Source organism: Homo sapiens, chromosome 5 (genome assembly GCF_000001405.40).
Source record: "Homo sapiens chromosome 5, GRCh38.p14 Primary Assembly".
Classification (NCBI taxonomy): Eukaryota; Metazoa; Chordata; class Mammalia; order Primates; family Hominidae; genus Homo; species Homo sapiens.
In genome coordinates, this window is record NC_000005.10 from 40553872 (window position 1) to 40573240 (window position 19369).

Below are 19369 nucleotides of genomic sequence, written 5' to 3' on the forward strand. Positions count from 1 at the left end.
CTAGTATACAACTAAATGGTGGTAACTAAATACCTCTCCCCATTTTGTATTCCTCTCTTAGTCTCTTCCTGTCTTTCTCTGTTTCTGTAACACACACATACACACAAACACACACACACACACCCCAGGACTAATGAGCCATGAGGCCAGAAAGCCAGATAATGCCAAAAGACGTGAGTTCCAAAGCAATCCTAAGACTATTGCCTCCCTGCAGTTAAAGTGCCTTGTCCACAAATGTATGTGCGGCTATAAGCTTTCATTTTCATACTTTCAGTCTTGCAAACTACAATTGAAGCTGATGAAAAAATATGATTACAGGCTTTGGCACTTGAGTGCCCCCATGGATTTATCTGCATACTAACAGGTCCTTTCCTGCATAGAGAGGCACCACCTTTAATGTCAATAGAAAGAAACAAATGCCACTATTCATTGTCCTCAGCTAGGATTTGACAAAGATGAGTGGGAAAGCAAGAGGACAAAGACAGGAAAACAACTTTATTCTCTGTTGAGAAATGCAAAACTGTGAAGGAGCAGGTCTAAAGGTTCCACAGAGAACCCCAAATATCATTTTCTTCTATTAATTGCCTATCAGCCCTATCCAGCTCTCACTTTTACCAAACGCTGGCTAAACAGTTTCTGCAATCTACTTCACATCCCACAAAGATTGTGTTGGGAAAAGTATAAGACCTCTGGAATAAAAAGGTCAGAACGCTGCTCCAATCCCAAGATCAAAGAGCTCAGGGACAATACATACACCCCCTCACCTCTGTCAAATCATCTTTTGGACACAGTGTCTCTTTCAAAATAGGGGGCAAGAGGTCATACTTCTGTGTTAAGCATTGGTCCCTATTAAGTACACATATATTGCAAATTCATTCAAAACTGCTTTAGAGCATACATATGGCAATCTGGCAGATCAAGGAAGCTTTCCAGACTTGTAGTCCATATGTAATAAGAGGACATAAAACAAAATGTAAAACTGAAGTTCAAATAAACTTTGTAGTGGAAGTAGTACTTTCTGTTCACAGCTACCATTCTCATCATCAGTTATATCATCAAAAGTCCCTGACTGCATGACACCAAGCTGGATGCTTCATGTGACTCAGGACTGATATCAGCAATGCCAGGTGGTAGAAATAACAGGTAGTTCACCGAGCTGACCAGAGGCACACCTTTAGGAAAATTGCTTGAACTTTATAAGCCTCAGTTTTCTTATCTATAAAATTATAGGGAAAAGTCCATGCTACAAGGTTGGAATAAGACCAAGTCAAATAAAATGAAGATACCCATTTATTATCATATGTATAAATCAGGTTAAGCACTTCTTAGAAACATCTTAAATATTTGAGTCATTCAGTATAATAACTATTAACTATATGGGTGCTGAAAAGCCAAGAGGAGAGCCTTCATATGACACATTTTTGTGCCAATATATGTTTTTGCTAGTGTAGTACTTTTTATCCAGATTGTCTTTATACCCCCATTAGATTTGTTCATTATAAATTTGGGGCCAGGCACAGTGGCTCACACCTGCAATCCCAGCACTTTGGGAGTTCAAGGCGGGTGGATCACGAGGTCAGGGATCCAAGACCAGCCTGGCCAAGATGGTGAAACCTGTCTCTACTAAAAATACAAAAATTAGCCAGGCATGGTGGTGCGCGCCTGTAATCCCAGCTACTCAGGAGGCTGAGGCAGAGAATTGCTTGAACCCGGGAGGCAGAGGTTGCAGTGAGCCGAGATAGCACCACTGTACTCTAGCCTGGGAGACAGAGCAAGACTGCAAATCAAAAAAAAAAAAAAAAATTGGGACATTTTACATATTTATTTGGAAAAACTGAAGAATGAAAATGACATAAAATCCCATTGACAGTCTGTCAGCCAAGTGTAATTAGAAATTTTTCATACTAAGCTGCATATTCAAAATAAATCTCTAAAATTTAGTCAAATGCTTGGTTGAAACAGGAATTTAAATACTAAACTATTTGCCCTTTCATTTTCTTATCCTTTTCATGCTACATGAACTGGGGAGATAATCCATTGTGAAAAACTGAATAAATACCTCTTCCCCCTTTCTATGTCTCTCTTTCTACCTTTCTGTCTTTATGTCAGTTTCTGTCTTTGTAACAAACAAACCTATCTGGACTAATGAGCCATGAGGCCAGAAAACCAGGTCATGCTAAAAGATGTGAGTAACAAAGCAATCCTGAAACTCTTGTCTCTTTGCACTTAAAGTCCCTTGTACACACGTATGTGTAGGCTATGTGCTCTCATTTTCATACTGCTTTCCTCCTTAAGTTCTACACTGGGTGTTTATGTGTATCTATAAGAGACAGGCAGGTGGGGAGGGAAGATAATTTCCAACATAATAATGCTAGTTCCATATAGCCATAGGTTACACCTCTCAGTGCCACCATTACTAAACACTACATCTGGTTTACTTCCCTAGTTTGTGATTTACTTACCTTCTTCCTTCTACCCTTCTTTTCTCCAAACTGACAGATTTTCACTAAGAAGTTTTCCATTACCTGCAAATGTGAAGCTGATTCTTAGCAGTTATTTTCAGAATCAAATTTTTAGTTTCTTCCATTTTTAATGATAAATAGTACAGTTTCTGATTTTTTTCAGTTATCTGATTTTTTTCATGATAAAGGCATGAGTTCTCTAATAAAGTATCCTATACCCACTGTGTGTATAGTATCCTATAGTATGCACATATAGGATACTATAGTATAGTATCCTATATATGCACATATAGGATACTATAGTATAGTATCCTATAGTATGCACATATAGGATACTATAGTATAGTATCCTATACACACAGTGGGTATAGGATACCTCATCCATTGCTAACTCCAAATCAGCTTTTTTCCTCAGTTGTGTATTCTATAGGTATGAACCCTAAGGAAAAAGGAATAGATGGGTGCCCAAATCCATAATGCATAGAAGAAAAATAATTTGAGAGAAAGCTATTACATACATTTTCTTAGATTTTAGAACTTTATCTTTAGAATGGGCATCATAGTTCATCTATTTCATAAAACACTTTCCCCTTTCCTTCCCTTCTGTCACACTCATGCAAATCTCTCTGTAACATGTTAGCACAAATGGGGAAACCAAAAGACAGGTTTGCAGAGTGTTTATGAAAACATAAATCATCCACAGAAACCACTGATCTTTTCCATGTTATATCCTGAATCATGGATGGCTCTGTAGTCCTAAATAGTCACACCCTACAAATTCATATTTTTCCAATGAGATGAAATATGAAGATGAGGAAATAGAATTTTCTTTCCTTTTGGAGAAAATAAAGAAGTGCAGGAGTTTGTCAACAGACTGTCTTCAGATAAATCTACTTAAAGACGGCGGGATTGTTTCAGAGTCCTTGAAAGGAAAAAACAAGAGAACCTTCATTTAATACCAGTTTTCCCAAGCCCCTGCCTTTGGTTCTGAGACTTTTCAACTCATTCCACAAACCTGCATCAATCACTTATTCTGTGCCAGGCCTTCATTTAAGCATTGGCAAGAATAAGACATAGTCATGTCTCTGGAGTTTCAGTTTGAAAGGAGACCCCGACACATGGAGTAACAATTAAAATACCATATGTCAAGAACCATAGCAGGGATATCTGCAAAGTGCTTGGAACTCATCAAAGGGGCAAAACTGACACTCCTCTAGAAAAAGTCAAGGAAGTCTTCCCAGAGGAAGTGGCACATAATGGAGAATAAAGAACTCCTTGAAATCTGTGCAGGCAAGTCCTATTTCTCCCTCCTCATTTTCTCACAATAATACAGAAGAGAGCAGCCCAACAGCATGTTGCTTTCGGATGAATCATGAGAATGCTAGGCAACTGCCACCTCTAATAGCATCTCTAAGGAAAGCAATTAACTGGCAATTTTCCTTTATTATTACACTCATGCACATAATTAAATATCCTTAACACACTTATTTCATAGCATTTTATAAAGAATGATAACTCTATGTTACCTTATACTAATAATAATATAATCAGCCACAAGTTTCACATGCTTCAATGTATTCTTTCTACAAATTATTATAAAATACAAGTTTAATGGGAGTTTAAGGATTTGCACCAAGCCTTTTCCTCTAAGACACCACTGCTTTTCTTTATTTCACAGTGGGAAAAATATCTTAAAAGTCTTGCCTTAGATTCCTCTGAATTTTAAGGAAAGTGTAAATGTTTATACAGATATATTAAAAAATCCCTCTGATTTCTCAAAAGTCATTCTAAAAGATTTTGTCAGTTTTCGCATTTTACTTTAAGATATATGATTATTGTCATTGTGCTATCTTTATCATACTATATAAATATGCACACACATATATATGCTTACATATGTATACTTTTTATGTATTATGTTATTTTATATATAATACATTTGTTTTGTATATATAAGTACATATACATATGTAGATATATGTATATGCATAATTTGTGTACCTATAAAAACATACAATAAGGACCTCTTTAACCTTGCCTTAAATCTCATCTCTATGTCTTATTAATTTTTCTCAAATTGCTTTCACGTAGTCTGTAGGTACCAAGATAAAAACATTCAATTCCAAATATGGTTTCCCCGGTTATGTATTACCAACAACATCCTGACTATCTATTACAAGACCTTATATGTGCAATTTAAAATTCACTTTTCTAGAAGTAAGTGTCCATTTATTTCACTTTGACTTATTGCAGTTTCAGACTCTGTTTGAATCTATATGTCGTAGTGGCAGACCCAGCCTGATAATGAAACAATCTGACTGAAGGTGATCATTATTCCCCTAGTTTGGCCCTTTGTATCTGAACATCATATATAAAAGTTTCCTTTGAAAGTTACAACCTACCACTTTTTAATTTGAACAAAAAACAATCCTGGTATGCTCAATGTTTCAAGAGATGACTTAATATTTCAAATAATAATATCTCTTTTATATGTAGCATTCTTATTTTTGATACATTTTGATAACTAGTGTCCTATGTATGCTTACAAAAGTTTACACAATAAGTGATGAAGGAATTTAGAATAGTAACTCTTTAAAAGCATAAAGTCAGAGGATAAGCTTTAAAAACTGTTATAATACCTTCATAGTCTGTTATAATGCCTTTTGAAGTCTGTGTTATAAAATCTTTCTAATAACAATGATGTGGTTACATTTGAAGGGAAGCAAAACTAAGGATTTGCCCTAGGTGACAAAGCAAGCCCTTTGTGGGACGAAGAAGTCTCTGTCTGGTTCCTAACTCATCAAAACACACTGCTGCCTTTCTTTTCAAATATGTACCTTGCACACAAAATTATTACTTCAGGTGCTGAACCAAAGTATATGAGTGTACCTTCTTCTAATTCTCAAATACTATAAGCCAATTTACTTCACATTTCTCTTAAGCTGGTTTTTAGCACAAGCAAGCTAGCAAAGGTTGTGCTAAGAACTTTCTGTTGGGATTTTTGTGTGTATGTGTGCAGAATTATCTTTAAGTTCAGTGCAGAACCATGTTTCCAAGTAAGTAATTTATCTGTGCAGTGGTTTAACAAAAATTAAATTGTATCATTCTTTAAATACCTCATTACTCAATGTTGCTAATGCTCCTGTGTCATTAACCATAAGCCACCTGGGATTTTCCAGCTCTGCTGTGTATCACTGGTTGCCACACTAGGATACAGATGCATGAGCATAATTAAAACCTATTTATTAGTGTCATGCAGGAGTGTAGCATGTACACTTTTCAGGACATTCTGTCTTGAAACAAGAGTTTGGTTTTTCCAAAAGTCTAGTTCATATGCTTCCATGATTCTGAGCAGTAGCAGCCCAGCATAAACATGAAGAGATAATAAGATGATTTCTCAAAGTGCTTTCTCTACCTGTTCCTGCCTATGAACACGCAATTGCTTTTCAGAGAAAGAAATGACAAAAGGAAGATTACCAAACATGAATGATCTACCACCAATTCCAAGTCAAAAGACACATAGAAGCTTTGGTTTCACTAAAAAGAATTTTTACATAAAAAAGTGTGTTAAGGCCAGGCACAGTGGTTCGTGCCTGTAATCCTGGCACTTTGGGAGGCTGAGGTGTGTGTATCACTTGAGGTTGTGAGTTCAAGACCAGCCTGGTCAACATGGCGAGACCCCATCTCTACAAAAAGTACAAAAATTAGCCAGGCTTAGTGGCAAGCACCTGTAGTCCACCTACTCAGGAGGTTGAGGCAAGAGGATGGCTTGAGCCTGGGAGGTCAAGGCTGCAGTGAACCAAGAACATGCCATCGCACTCCAGCCTGGGTGACAGAGAATGAGACACTGTCTCACACACACACACACAAAAGATGGTTATTAATATTGTAACTCTTCTTTCCTCTTCACCATCCCACCAGTCATTTCACAACGTCTTTATGATGCCCCTAAATTTTTTTGCACTTGCTGCCTTTATTCTATTCAAGTTCTCATTGCCAAGAAAAAACAATAAAATAAAAAGTTCTCAAGATTTACTTTGTAAAACACTGGGGTTCCAAGAGTTGGTCTGAGATTTCTTCTTAAATGAAATCTCGGTGGGGTTTTTTAAGATTTTCAGGAGGTGAGGCAATTAATGAACTGGGTTTTCTCAATTGGTTGGGTTTGCTTCCTACATTTTTCTTAAAAGTTTGGGAGATCTGCAGCTTGTCCACACTAGAATGTGGTATGAGATGATATTTATAGAACAAAATTATTATCTTTGTTGTTTTAAATTGAATATAACAATGCTTCATGATGTTCTGCAAAGATGATTATGACTTTCAGGAGTTCTGCCACATCAGCAAGTTTGGGTTTTTAAAACTGTTTCCAATTTCTTGCAGAATCATCTTCCTAAAGTACATCTCTGATCCACTCCTCCATAAAAAATTTTCATAGGCTCTGATATGGTTTTGTTGTGTACCTCCCCAAATCTCACCTTGAATTGTAATAATCCCCATGTGTCAAAGGAGGGACCGAGTGGGAGGTAATTCAATCATGGGGGCGGGTTTTTCCCATGCTATTCTCATAATAGTGAATAAGTCTCATGAGATCTGATGGTGTTATAATGCGGAGTTCCCCTGCACATGCCCTCTTGCCTGCAGCCATGTAAGACGTCCCTTGGCTCTTCCTTCATATTCTGCCATGATCATGAGACCTCCCCAGCCATCTGGAACTGTGAGTCCATTAAACCTCTTTCCTTCATAAATTACCTAGTCTCCAGTATGTGTTTATTAGCAACATGAGAACAGACTAATACAGGCTCCCCATTGCCTGCTGCACAAAATCCAAACACCCATGCAAAGCACTCAGAGGTCCAGTGAGCTGTGCTAAGTGCATCACTTTTTGCAAAAGCAAACTTTCCCAGGTGATGGTTACACTAAAAGCTGATCTCACCACTAGACAATATACCCATGTAACGAAACTGTACTTATATACCTTAAACATACAATTTTCCTTTTTCTAGAATAATTTGCAATTTATTTCTTTATTCTTTCTATCTTTCCATTGTTTTCCATATTGATACAAATTTTTTTATTATACTTTAAGTTCTAGGACACATGTGCACAATGTGCAGGTTTGTTTCCTAGGTATACAGTGCCACGTTGGTTTGCTGCACCCATCAACTCGTCATTTACATTAGGTATTTCTCCTAATGTTATCCCTCTCCTAGCCCCCCACCCCCTGACTGGCCCTGGTGTGTGATGTTCCCCACCTTGTGTCCATGTGTTCTCATTCTTTAACTCCCACTTATGAGTGAGAACAGGCGGTGTTTGGTTTTCTGTCCTTGTGAAAGTTTGCTCAGAATGATGGTTTCCAGCTTCAGCTGCAAAGCACATGAACTCATCTTTTTTTATAGCTGTATAGTATTCCATAGTGTATATGTGCCACATTTTCTTAACCCAGTCTATCATTGATGGACATTTGGGTTGGTTCCAAGTCTTTGTTATTGTGAATAGTGCCACAATAAACATACGTGTGCATGGATCTTTATCATAGAATGATTTATAATACTTTGGGTATATGCCCAGTAATGGGATTGCTAGGTCAAATGGTATTTCTAGTTCTAGATTCTTGAGAAATTGACACACTGTCTTCCACAATGGTTGAACTAATTTACACCCCCACCAACAGTGTAAAAGCATTCCTATTTCTCCACATGCTCTCCAGCATCTGTTGTTTCCTGACTTTTTAATAATCGCCATTCTAACTGGCATGAGATGGTATCTCATTGTGGTTTTGATTTGCATTTCTCTGATGACCAGTGATGATGAGCATTTTTTCATGTGTCTGTTGGCTGCATAAGTGTCTTCTTTTGAGAAGTGTCTGTTCATATCCTTCGCCCACTTTTTGATGGGGTTGTTTGTTTTTTTCTTGTAAATTTGTTTGAGTTCTTTCTAGATTCTGGATATTAGCCCTTTGTCAGATGGGTAGATTGCAAAAATTTTCTCCCACTCTGTAGGTTGCCTGTTCACTCTGATGGTAGTTTCTTTTGCTGTGCAGAAGCGCTTTAGTTTAATTAGATCCCATTTGTCAATTTTGGCTTTTGTTGCCATTGCTTTTGGTGTTTTAGTCATCATGTCCTTGCCTATGCCTATGTCCTGAATGCTATTGCCTAGGTTTTCTTCTAGGGTTTTTATGATTTTAAGTCCAACATTTCAGTCTTTAATCCATCTTGAATTAATTTTTGAATAAGATGAAAGGAAGGGATCCAGTTTCAGATTTCTACATATGGCTAGCCAGTTTTCCCAGCATCATTTATTAAATAGGGAATCCTTTCCCCATTTCTTGTTTTTGTGAGGTTTGTCAAAGATCAGATGGTTGTAGATGTGTGGAGTTATTTCTGAGGCCTCTGTTCTGCTCCATTGGTCTATGTATCTGTTTTGGTACCAGTACCATGTTGCTTTTGTCACTGTAGCCTTGAAGTATAGTTTGAAATCAGGTAGCGTGATGCCTCCAGCTTTGTTCTTTTGGCTTAGGGTTGTCTTGGAAATGTGGGCTCTTTTTTGGTTCCATATGAACTTTAAAGTAGTTTTCTCCAATTCTGTGAAGAAAGTCATTGGTAGCTTGATGGGGATGGCATTGAATCTATAAATTACTTTGGGCAGTATGGCCATTTTCACGATATTGATTCTTCCTATCCATGAGCATGGCATATTCTTCCATTTGTTTGTATCCTCTTTTATTTCCTTGAGCAGTGGTTTGTAGTTCTCCTTGAAGAGGTCCTTCACATCCCTTGTAAGTTGGATTCCTAGGTATTTTATTCTCTTTGTAACAATTGTGAATGGGAGTTCACTCATGATTTGGCTCTCTGTTTGTTATTGGTGTATAGGAATGCTTGTGATTTTTGCACATTGATTTTGTATCCTGAGACTTTGCTGAAGTTGCTTATAAGCTTAAGGAGATTGTGGGCTGAGATGATGGGGTTTTCTAAATATACAATCATGTCATCTGCAAACAGACACAATTTGACTTCCTCTTTTCCTAGTTGAATACCCTTTATTTCTTTCTCTTTCCTGATTGCCCTAGCCAGAACTTCCCACACTATGTTGAATAGGAGTGGTGAGAGAGGTCATTCCTGTCTTGTTCCAGTTTTCAAAGGGAATGCTTCCAGTTTTTGCCCATTCAGTATGATATTGGCTGTGGGTTTGTCATAAATAGCTCTTATTATTTTGAGATGTGTTCCATCAATACCTAGTTTATTGAGAGTTTTTAGCATGAAGGGCTGTTGAATTTTGTCGAAGGTCTTTTCTGCATCTATTGAAATAATCATGTGGTTTTTGTCTTTGGTTCTGTTTATGTGATGGATTGCGTTTATGGATTTTCGTATGTTGAACCAGCCTTGCATCCCAGGGATGAAGCTGACTTGATCATGGTGGATAAGCTTTTTGATGTGCTGCTGGATTTGGTTTGCCAGTATTTTATTGAGGATTTTTACATCAATGTTCATCAGGGATATTGGCCTAAAATTCTCTTTTTTTGTTGGGTCTCTAGCAGGCTTTGGTATCAGGATGATGCTGGCCACATAAAAGGAGTTAGGGAGGATTCCCTCTTTTTCTATTGTTTGGAATAGTTTCAGAAGGAATAGTACCAGCTCCTCTGTGTACCTCTGGTAGAATTCAGCTGTTAATCCATCTGGTCCTGGACTTTTTCTGGTTGGTAGGCTATTAATTATTGCCTCAATTTCAGAACCTGTTATTTGTCTATTCAGAGATTCAACTTCTTCCTGGTTTAGTCTTGGGAGGGTGTATGTGTCCAAAAATTTATCCATTTCTTCTAGATTTTCTAGTTTATTTGCATAGAGGTGTTTATAGTATTCTGTATTGCTAGTTTCTATTTCTGTGGGATCAGTGGTGATAGCCTCTTTTTCATTTTTTATTGCATCTATTAGATTCTTCTCTCTTTTCTTCTTTATTAGTCTTGCTAGCAGTCTATCAATTTTGTTGATCTTTTCAAAAACCAGCTCCTGGATTCATTGATTTTTTGAAGGGTTCTTTGTGTATCTATCTCTTTCAGTTCTGCTCTGATCTTAATTATTTCTTGCCTTCTGCTAGCTTTTGAATGTGTTTGCTCTTACTTCTTTAGTTCTTTTCATTGTGATGTTAGAGTGTCAATTTTAGATCTTTCCTGCTTTTTCTTGTGGGCATTTAGTGCTATAAATTTCCCTCTACACACTGCTTTAAATGTGCCCCAGAAATTCTGGTACATTGTGACTTTTTTCTCATTGGTTTCAAAGAACATCTTTACTTCTGACTTCATTTTGTTATTTACCAGTAGTCATTCAGGAGCAGGTTGCTCAGTTTCCATGTAGTTGTGCAGTTTTTAGTGAGCTTATTAATCCTGAGTTCTAATTTGACTGCACTGTGGTCTCAGAGACTGTTTGTTGTGATTCCTGTTCTTTTACATTTGCTGAGGAGTGTTTTACTACCAATTATGTGGTCAATTTTAGAATAAGTGTGATGTGGTGCTGTGAAGTATGTATATTCTGTTGATGTGGGGTGTAGGGTTCTGTAGATATCTATTAGGTCTGCTTGGTCCAGAGCTGAGTTCAAGTCCTGGATATCCTTGTTAACCTTCTATCTCATTGATCTGTCTAATATTGACAGTGGGGTGTTAAAGTCTCCCATTATTATTGTGTGGGAGTCTAAGTCTCTTTGTAGGTCTCTAAGGACTTGCTTTATGAAGCTGGGTGCTCCAGTATTAGGTGTATATATTTTTAGGATAGTTAGCTCTTCTTGTTGAATTGATCCCTTTACCATTACGTAGTGGCCTTTTTTGTCTCTTTTGATCTTTGTTGGTTTAAAGTCTGTTTTATCAGAGACTGGGATTGCAATCCCTGCTCTTTTTTTTTTTTTTTTTTTTTTTTTTTTTTTTGCTTTTCATTTGCTTGGTTTCTTCCTTCATCCCTTTATTTTGAGCCTATGTGCATCTTTGCACATGAGATGGGTCTCCTGAATACAGCACACTGATGGGTCTTGACTATCCAATTTGCCAGTCTGTGTCTTTTAATTGGGGCATTTAGCCCATTTACATTTAAGGTTAATATTGTTACATTTGAATTTGATACTGTCATTTGATGCTAGCAGGTTATTTTGTCCCTTAATTGATGCAGTTTCTTCATAGCATCGATGGTCTTTACCATTTGGCATGTTTTTGCAGTGGCTGATACCAGTCGTTCCTTTCCATGTTTAGTGCTTCCTGCAGGAGCTCTTGTAAGGCAGGCCTGGTGGTGACAAAATCTCTCAGCATTTGTCTGTAAAGGATTTTATTTCTCCTTCATTTATGAAGCTTAGTTTGGCTGGATATGAGATTCTGGGTTGAAAATTCTTTTCCTTAAGAATGTTGAATATTGGCCCCCACTCTCTTCTGGCTTGTAGGGTTTCTGCTGAAAGATCCGCTGTTAGTCTGATGGGCTTCCCTTTGTGGGTAACCCAACCTTTCTCTCTGGCTGCCCTTAACATTTTTTCCTCATTTCAACCTTGGTAAATGTGACAATTATGTGTCTTGGGGTTGCTCTTCTCTAGAAGTATCTTTGTGCTGTTCTCTGTATTTCCTGAATTTGAATGTTGGCCTGCCTTGCTGGTTAGGGAAGTTCTCCTGGATAATATCCTGAATAGTGTTTTCTAACTTGGTTCCATTCTCCCCGTCACTTTCCAGTACACCAATCAAATGTATACTTGGTCTTTTCACACAGTCCCATATTTCTTGGAGGCTTTGTTCATTTCTTTTCACTCTTTTTTCTCTAATCTTGTCTCCTCACTTTATTTCATTAATATGATCTTCAATCACTGATATCCTTTCTTCCACTTGATTGAAGCTTTTGCATGTGTCACAGAAATCTCGTGCCATGGTTTTCAGCTCCCTCAGGTCATTTAAGGTGTTCTTTACACTGTTTATTCTAGTTAGCCATTCGTCTAGCCTTTTCGAGGTTTTTAGATTCCTTGTGATGGGTTCGAACATGCTCCTTTAGCTCGGAGAAGTTTGTTATTAGCAGTCTTCTGAAGCTTACTTCTGTCAACTCGTCAAAGTCATTCTCCATCCAGTTTTGTTCCCTTGCTGGCAAGGAGCAGCGATCTTTTGGAGGAGAAGAGCCAATTTGTTTTTTGGAATTCTCAGGTTTTCTGCTCTGGTTTCTCCCCATCTTTGTGGTTTTATCTACCTTTGGTCTTTGATGTTGGTGACCTATGTGTGGAGTTTTGGTGTGGATGTCCTTTTTGTTGATGTTGATGCTACTCTTTTCTGTTTGTTAGTTTTCCTTCTAACAGTCAGACCCCTCAGCTTCAGGGCTGTTGGAGTTTGCTGGAGGTCCACTCCAGACCCTGTTTGCCTGGGTATCACCAGGGGAGGCTGCAGAACAGCAAATATTGCTGCCTGATCCTTCCTCTGGAAGATTCATCCCAGAGTGGCACCCACCTGTGTGAGATGTCTGTCAGCCCCTATTGGGAGGTGTTTCCCAGTCAGGCTACACAGGGGTCAGGGACCTGCTTGACAAGGCAGTCTATCTGTTCTTGGAGCTTGAACGCTGTGCTGAGAGAACCACTGCTCTCTTCAGAGCTGTCAGACAGGGACGTTTAATTCTGCAGAAGCTGTCTGTTGCCTTTTGTTCTACTATGCCTTGCCCCAGAGGTGGAATCTATAGAGGCTGATCTGTGGTGGGCTCTGCCCAGTTCATGCTTCCAAGCCTCTTTATTTACACTGTGAGCTACTCAAGCCTCAGCAATGACGGACACCCCTCCCCCCAACTAGCTGCAGCATCCCAGGTCTATCTCAGACTGCTGTGCTAGTGGTGAACAAGGCTCCGTGGGCATGGGACCCACCGAGCCAGGCACGGGAGGGTATCTCCTAGTTGGCTGCTTGCTAAGTCCGTGGGAATAGCACAGTATTTGGTCAGGAGTGTACTGTTTCTCCAGTTACCATCTGTCATGGCTTCCCTTGGCTAGGAAAGGGAACTCCCCTGACCCCTTGCACTCCCCTGGTGAGGCAACGTCCCACCCTGCTTCTGCTCACCCTCCATGGGCTGCACCCACTGTCCAACCAGCCCAATGAGATGAACCAGGTACCTCAGTTGGAAATGCAGAAATCACCCATCTTCTGCGTCAATCTCACTGGGAGCTGCAGACCGGAGCTGTTCCTATTCGGCCATCTTGGAAGCAACCATCAACATACAATTTTTCTTAAAAACCTTTCCCTACTTCACACAGTAAGGCTTGACTTTTGTGTGAATGTGTGTGTTTGCAGAGTTCTATTACACAACACATACTCAGAGAGAGACCATTTTCACTCATAATACATTTCTGCAATCTATGTGATTTATTTTTCCAAGGAAGACATGTTTAATTACATATTGTATTCTTAAGTAAGAAACTTGTACAAAATAAATTACAGGCATGCCCACAGTAACAGGTGAAAAAATAAAGCTGTGAATATATACCCTAGGACTCCTAGATATAATAAAATTATCCCTCAAGACAAATAAGAAATATCAAATACTGCAATTGTAGCTACCTAAGGGACTGAAGCATATATAGCACATAAGACTACACTATGATATTTTACCTAAAATTAATATGTAGGCTATAACAAACAGTAAATTGCTCATTAACAACAATCATATTTATATCCTAAGGATTTAGAAATATTTATTTGGGTAATTTGGAATGCTTAGGTCTTTCAAAGAAAGCTGTCCAAAGAAAATCGAATGGGTGTCTTTTCTTGTAATCAATTTACTTGTAGTGAGAAAGTATTCAAATTCATTATATTTTCTCAGGATATTCTCAGGCAGGTACATCAATATGTTTTTATAATTGTTACCCATTGAAAAATACTTTTTTAAAAATAAGGACTATTCCAACATTTTCCCATCTTTGTCTTTCTTGCTTTAGTTAAAGCTGGTAACAAATTAAATAAAGACCATTAAGAAAAAATGAGTTTCACTCACTTAACATTTTCTTGACACTAGTCAGAGAAGAATATTCTCATTTAGACAGAAATTTTTGAAATTCTTTTTTAATATAGACAGTTTAAAAAATTACTTTAAACCATCTCAGATCTTATAAGGGAATTTCAGAATGGCAAATCTAAGTCACCTTTAGTTGAACAAGAGAGACATAGCAATTTAGGGTTTCATTTAAAAAGAGCTCGGAAAAGATCAGTGTTGAGGATAAAAGATGCATTCATCAGGATTCAACCCTTTGTAGCAATCTGGCTTCAATGTCAGAGCCCTTTATTCAGCATTCTTTCTCCTTTGCACTTTTTGTGTACCAATCAAAAGAACTCATGGATGAGACAGTAAAATGAGTACAACCACTTGAGGAAGCTGGCAGTATCTTCTGATACCGAGCTTATACATATTTTATGACCCAACAATTCCACTTTTATCTGCACACTTGACTCAGATAAATACATCTATTCACCTAGACATGTCCTAGCATGCTCATAGAAGCACCATTTCTAATAGCCAGAAATACCCAAATTCCATCAAGAGTAAAATTGATAAATAATGTATATTTACACATTATACACAAATGAGAATGAATGTTAACAGCAACCACATGCAGTATGATGGCTCTCATTAACATAATGTTGAGTGAAAGAAGCTAGAAACAAAAGAGTACATAATGTATGATGTAAGTTATATGACCAAAACATGAGCCAAAGTACCAAAGCACCCTATGCTGTTAGAAGTCAATGTCATGATTACCCTCAGTGGAGAGAGGAATGAGGAGCCAGAATAGATTGTGAGGGGGCTTATGTGGTGCCGGTAATGTTCTTCTTCTTGATCTAAGTGCTGGTGACACAGATGTGTTCAGTAGCTAAAAGTTTATTGATTTTAAGTGATGATATTTTTACTTTTCTGAAAGTATATTCTAATTTGATAGTGTTTAAAAGAGGATCCAGGAATTCAAAAGCACCTTTCTACTGCCACAAAGAATCACATCCCTTGAAAGATGTTAAGGACTGAGCATGGTGTCTCACGCTTGTAATTCCAATGTTTTGAGGTGCTGAGGCAGGAGGATGACTTGAGCCCAGGAGTTCAAGACAAGCTTGGGAAACATAGAGAGACTCTGTCTCCATTAAAAAAAAATGTATATATATATAATATTAGCCAGGTGTGGTAGCACATGCTTGTTAATCCCAGCTTCCAAGCTACTTGGGAGGCTATAGCAGGAGTCCAAGAGTTCCAGCCTGGGTGACAGAGACAGAGTGAGACCCTGTCTCAAAAAAAAAAAAAATGTTAAGGTTCCCTGAGTATCCCAGTGAGTGCCAGATTGAAATATTATTCAAACAAGGCATAAATCAGCCAAACATTCAATCCAGCTGAGTTGAGGATTTTGGTTTTTGTTTCTGTTGGGTATTTATAAGTAAAGACTATCAGAAAACTGGAAATGAAAGTTAGTTAGTATCTCAGACTACACTCTGCACCAAGTAGTTTGCTTAAGAATCGACTTCAAAACAGCTCACATGAAGCACTTAGGATATACCACTCCAATTTTTTTATCAGAACTAATATTTATGAATTAGAAACTGATGGAGAATTAAACTTCATGGAGAATTTCAAAAGGTCAAGAACATGACAGCTTGTCTTCCTCTGGAAATTTGCTGCGGCTTCATCACCATGAAAATATGTTTCTCCACCCTCCCCATCACTTCCCCTAAATTGTTTTTCTTTAACAAGTCAAATATGTAGAAAAAAACATTTTTATCAACTCTTCTGCCATTGTGACATTGTTGTAAACTATATTTCCCAAGATTCAAACACAAACATAATGTAATAATAACAGCTGGACACTTGGAAGATGTTAGCAAGTGACCATGCAGATACTTTAAATCTGGACTCTCTTTGGATTCTAGAGAGCATGTTTCTAAGATCACGTTGTCTTCTTCAGGAGTCAACCATACAATCACTTTCCTCAGGAAGTTCCATAGGACAAGATATAGAACAACACACAAATAAATATTCAAAGAAGAGAATGTTTTGATGTGTCTGGTTCCTCTGACTCAAAAAAAAAAAAAGGTCTCTTTTAAGGACTCAGACAGGGACAAGGGCTCCCTTCCTTCTTCATGGGAACAGATGCAAAAGATCTCTTCTGACTGGCCCCTTCTCTTTAAATCTTCTTTTTTCATTTATTTCTAAAGTATCCAAAGGCACAGGACAGGCTGCTGCTACACATCATTATTTGCAGTCCTTTGAATGTCTTCAGCAAATGACCTCACTACCTCCTAGAAGGACATGAGTCAGACCTTAGCATGAAAACAAACATACACCTAAACCATGTCACACTCTTGAGAACATATTCCTCTTAGCTTCACAGATGCTGAGAGTGTTAAGATTTGAGCACAGTACATAAGTCATTTGAATTAAAGCCTTCTTCATACAATCAAATTAAGAGACTTGGCTAAGGGCACACAGCTAATTAGAGCTTAAGCTAAGACTAGAATCCTAGATTGCTAATTCCTAGTCTAATGCTTATTTGTGCTATATCAAGAGGCCTTTAAGTCATGAGAAATTACATAAATGAATGACAATCTACTTTTGTGGGTTATGCATTGCTACTCAAGCGGAGCCAAGAGCTGTAAGCCACAGAGTAAAATAAAACTCTGTATGAACTGGACATTCTTCAGGAGATATGTGATGTGCCAGAGATTCCTGACATCTCCACCTACTTGCACAGCTGTTGTTACACATGATGAACACCAAGGAGATAATATAAGGAAAGGAAAACAAGGCACGCACATCTGCATGTGCATGCACACACCTCCTCTCCCTTGCCCTACTGTAATCCATCTGATGAGCTACCTATATCCTAAGAACATAGGTCAAGAAAGATATGCAACAGCATCCCAGTTTTACGAGGGAGAACGGAAAGAATCAAGTCCACCAGAGATGGACTTTTTCAGGGACCTTAAGAATCAGTAAGAAAAGAAAGGAATTTTCATTCATTCCTTCTTTCACTCAGCACATTTGTATCTTATTCCTGCCATGTCCAGGTATGGTGCTAGTCAGTGAGGATACACAGATAAAACATACAAGTCCCTGCCTTCAGGATGCTAACAGTTAATTGGGCAGGCAACAATTGCCAAGCTGTGTGGGAAGTGCCATGGTGGAACGTGGCAGCTGAGAGAAAAGATTTACAAAGGGTGGAGGCTGGGGGATGCAGAGAAGCAGAAGGGAGAAGAGGATACAGGAAAAAGTTAATGCTAAGAAGGTCTTCCCAAGAGTGAATAGTAAAAATATTAGAAATTACATCATTTTCTTCTCTAAGAGACATTCTCACATACTCAATAGTTCGGTGGTTCTCAAAGTGTGGTCCCAAGGCTAGATGTGTCAGCATCACCTGAGAACTTGTTGGAAACAGAAATGGTCTGACCATATCCCAGAACTACTGAATCAGAAACTCTTAGGATGGGGCCCAGCACTCTGTTGTAACAAGCCCCCAGGTAATTCTAATGCGCTCTAAAGTTGGAGAACCATTATACTAGATAAATCAAAGCAAACTCGAGGGGAATGAAAGCCCATATGTCCAAGCAGTTAAGAGCAGGCCTGAGGGCAATGATTCTAGTGTGGTAATGTTTCATGTAAATGCACCAAAATGGGAAGTAATCTTTTGTCAGATATGACCTAATTTATATTTCAGAAAATATGGTTCTCTGTTTTTGAAGGCCTATGGACCCCTGTGTTTCCTAAGATCTACCATACAAATGACTGATATTCCTGAAGTAAAAGCTTTGTAATTTAACCTGGAGTCAAGAGTCTTGGATGGAGATCAACACAGATCTTCAGAAGGCACAAGAAGGTCCCATAGGACACACTACAGAATCTAGCGATGGGACTCACAGGGACTGTACCATTTACATTTTCCCTAGGGCTACATAGTCCCTGATTTTCAGTGTCTGCTTCTTTCTTTATGGCTTCCCCCATAGAAGGGTTTTCTACTTCCACTTATCATAGTTTGCCACATGACCCTTCTTGGCCTCAACTCTATAAGATATTAGAGTTCCCATATCTGGAAGTGTGTCTAGCATCATACTCTAAGTGTCTTAGACTTAAAGCTTCTTAGTTTAAATTCTTAAAAGAGAGAATGTGATCGTCCCAATGGTTCATTTAGCTGTGGCCTCCGGTATTAACAAAGCAGAAACAGCAGCAGACCGGAGGCTGAGTATTGACGTTAGAAGAGGTTATGGAACTGGCAAGGAGACAACGTTCAGAAAACCTAACACAGTAGAAATTATCCATTTGGCCCCTGAGAGTTCCATCTAACTTCACGAGTCTCTGGAACAACAGTGTATCCTTTATTTCTGTAAATTCCAAACAAATGGTAGGAAATTCATAGAAAAATGCAACAGCTTGTAAAATATGTTGATTACATATTTTAAAACCTTAATTATACATGCACCCTTCACTCTAGAAATTTAAATCCTAGGGTTTTATCTTAAGAGAAAATTTGGGATGTGCCCAATAAGAAATAAGGAAAAGGAATTCTTGTCACGGTATTGTTTTTCATAGCAAACTTTTTTTACAAAAAGAAATGATCTAAATATCTAGAAATTGGGATTTTTATCAATGGAAGTCATTTTTACTTTTTTTGTTTTTACAAAAAAAATTCATCATTCATCTTTGGTAAACTTTTTTCTCTTCATTAAAAAAAAGTCAGTAAGCCTTAACATTGTTTTAATACTGGCATAAGGAAATTGCAAGCAGATGGCCTCCCACGTTCTGTTTTTCTTGTCTGGGTTACAGTCACTATGATGATCTAGCTGCAGCTGCTGGATGATCTCTTCCAGCTGCAGATTTGATTTGCTCCTACTAGTCCCTAATTGAATTTAGTCGCTTCCCTTCTCTCCTCCACATCAGCAGAGGCCTCCCAATCTT

The 19369-nt window shown here is 38.2% G+C and overlaps 1 annotated feature.

Moving 5' to 3' along the window:
* Positions 17080-17309: an enhancer, noted in NCBI's record as "active region_22501". NCBI's record gives its function as "activates an Ori minimal core promoter by ATAC-STARR-seq in GM12878 lymphoblastoid cells {active_cell/tissue: GM12878}" and the evidence as "EXISTENCE:reporter gene assay evidence [ECO:0000049][PMID:35858748]".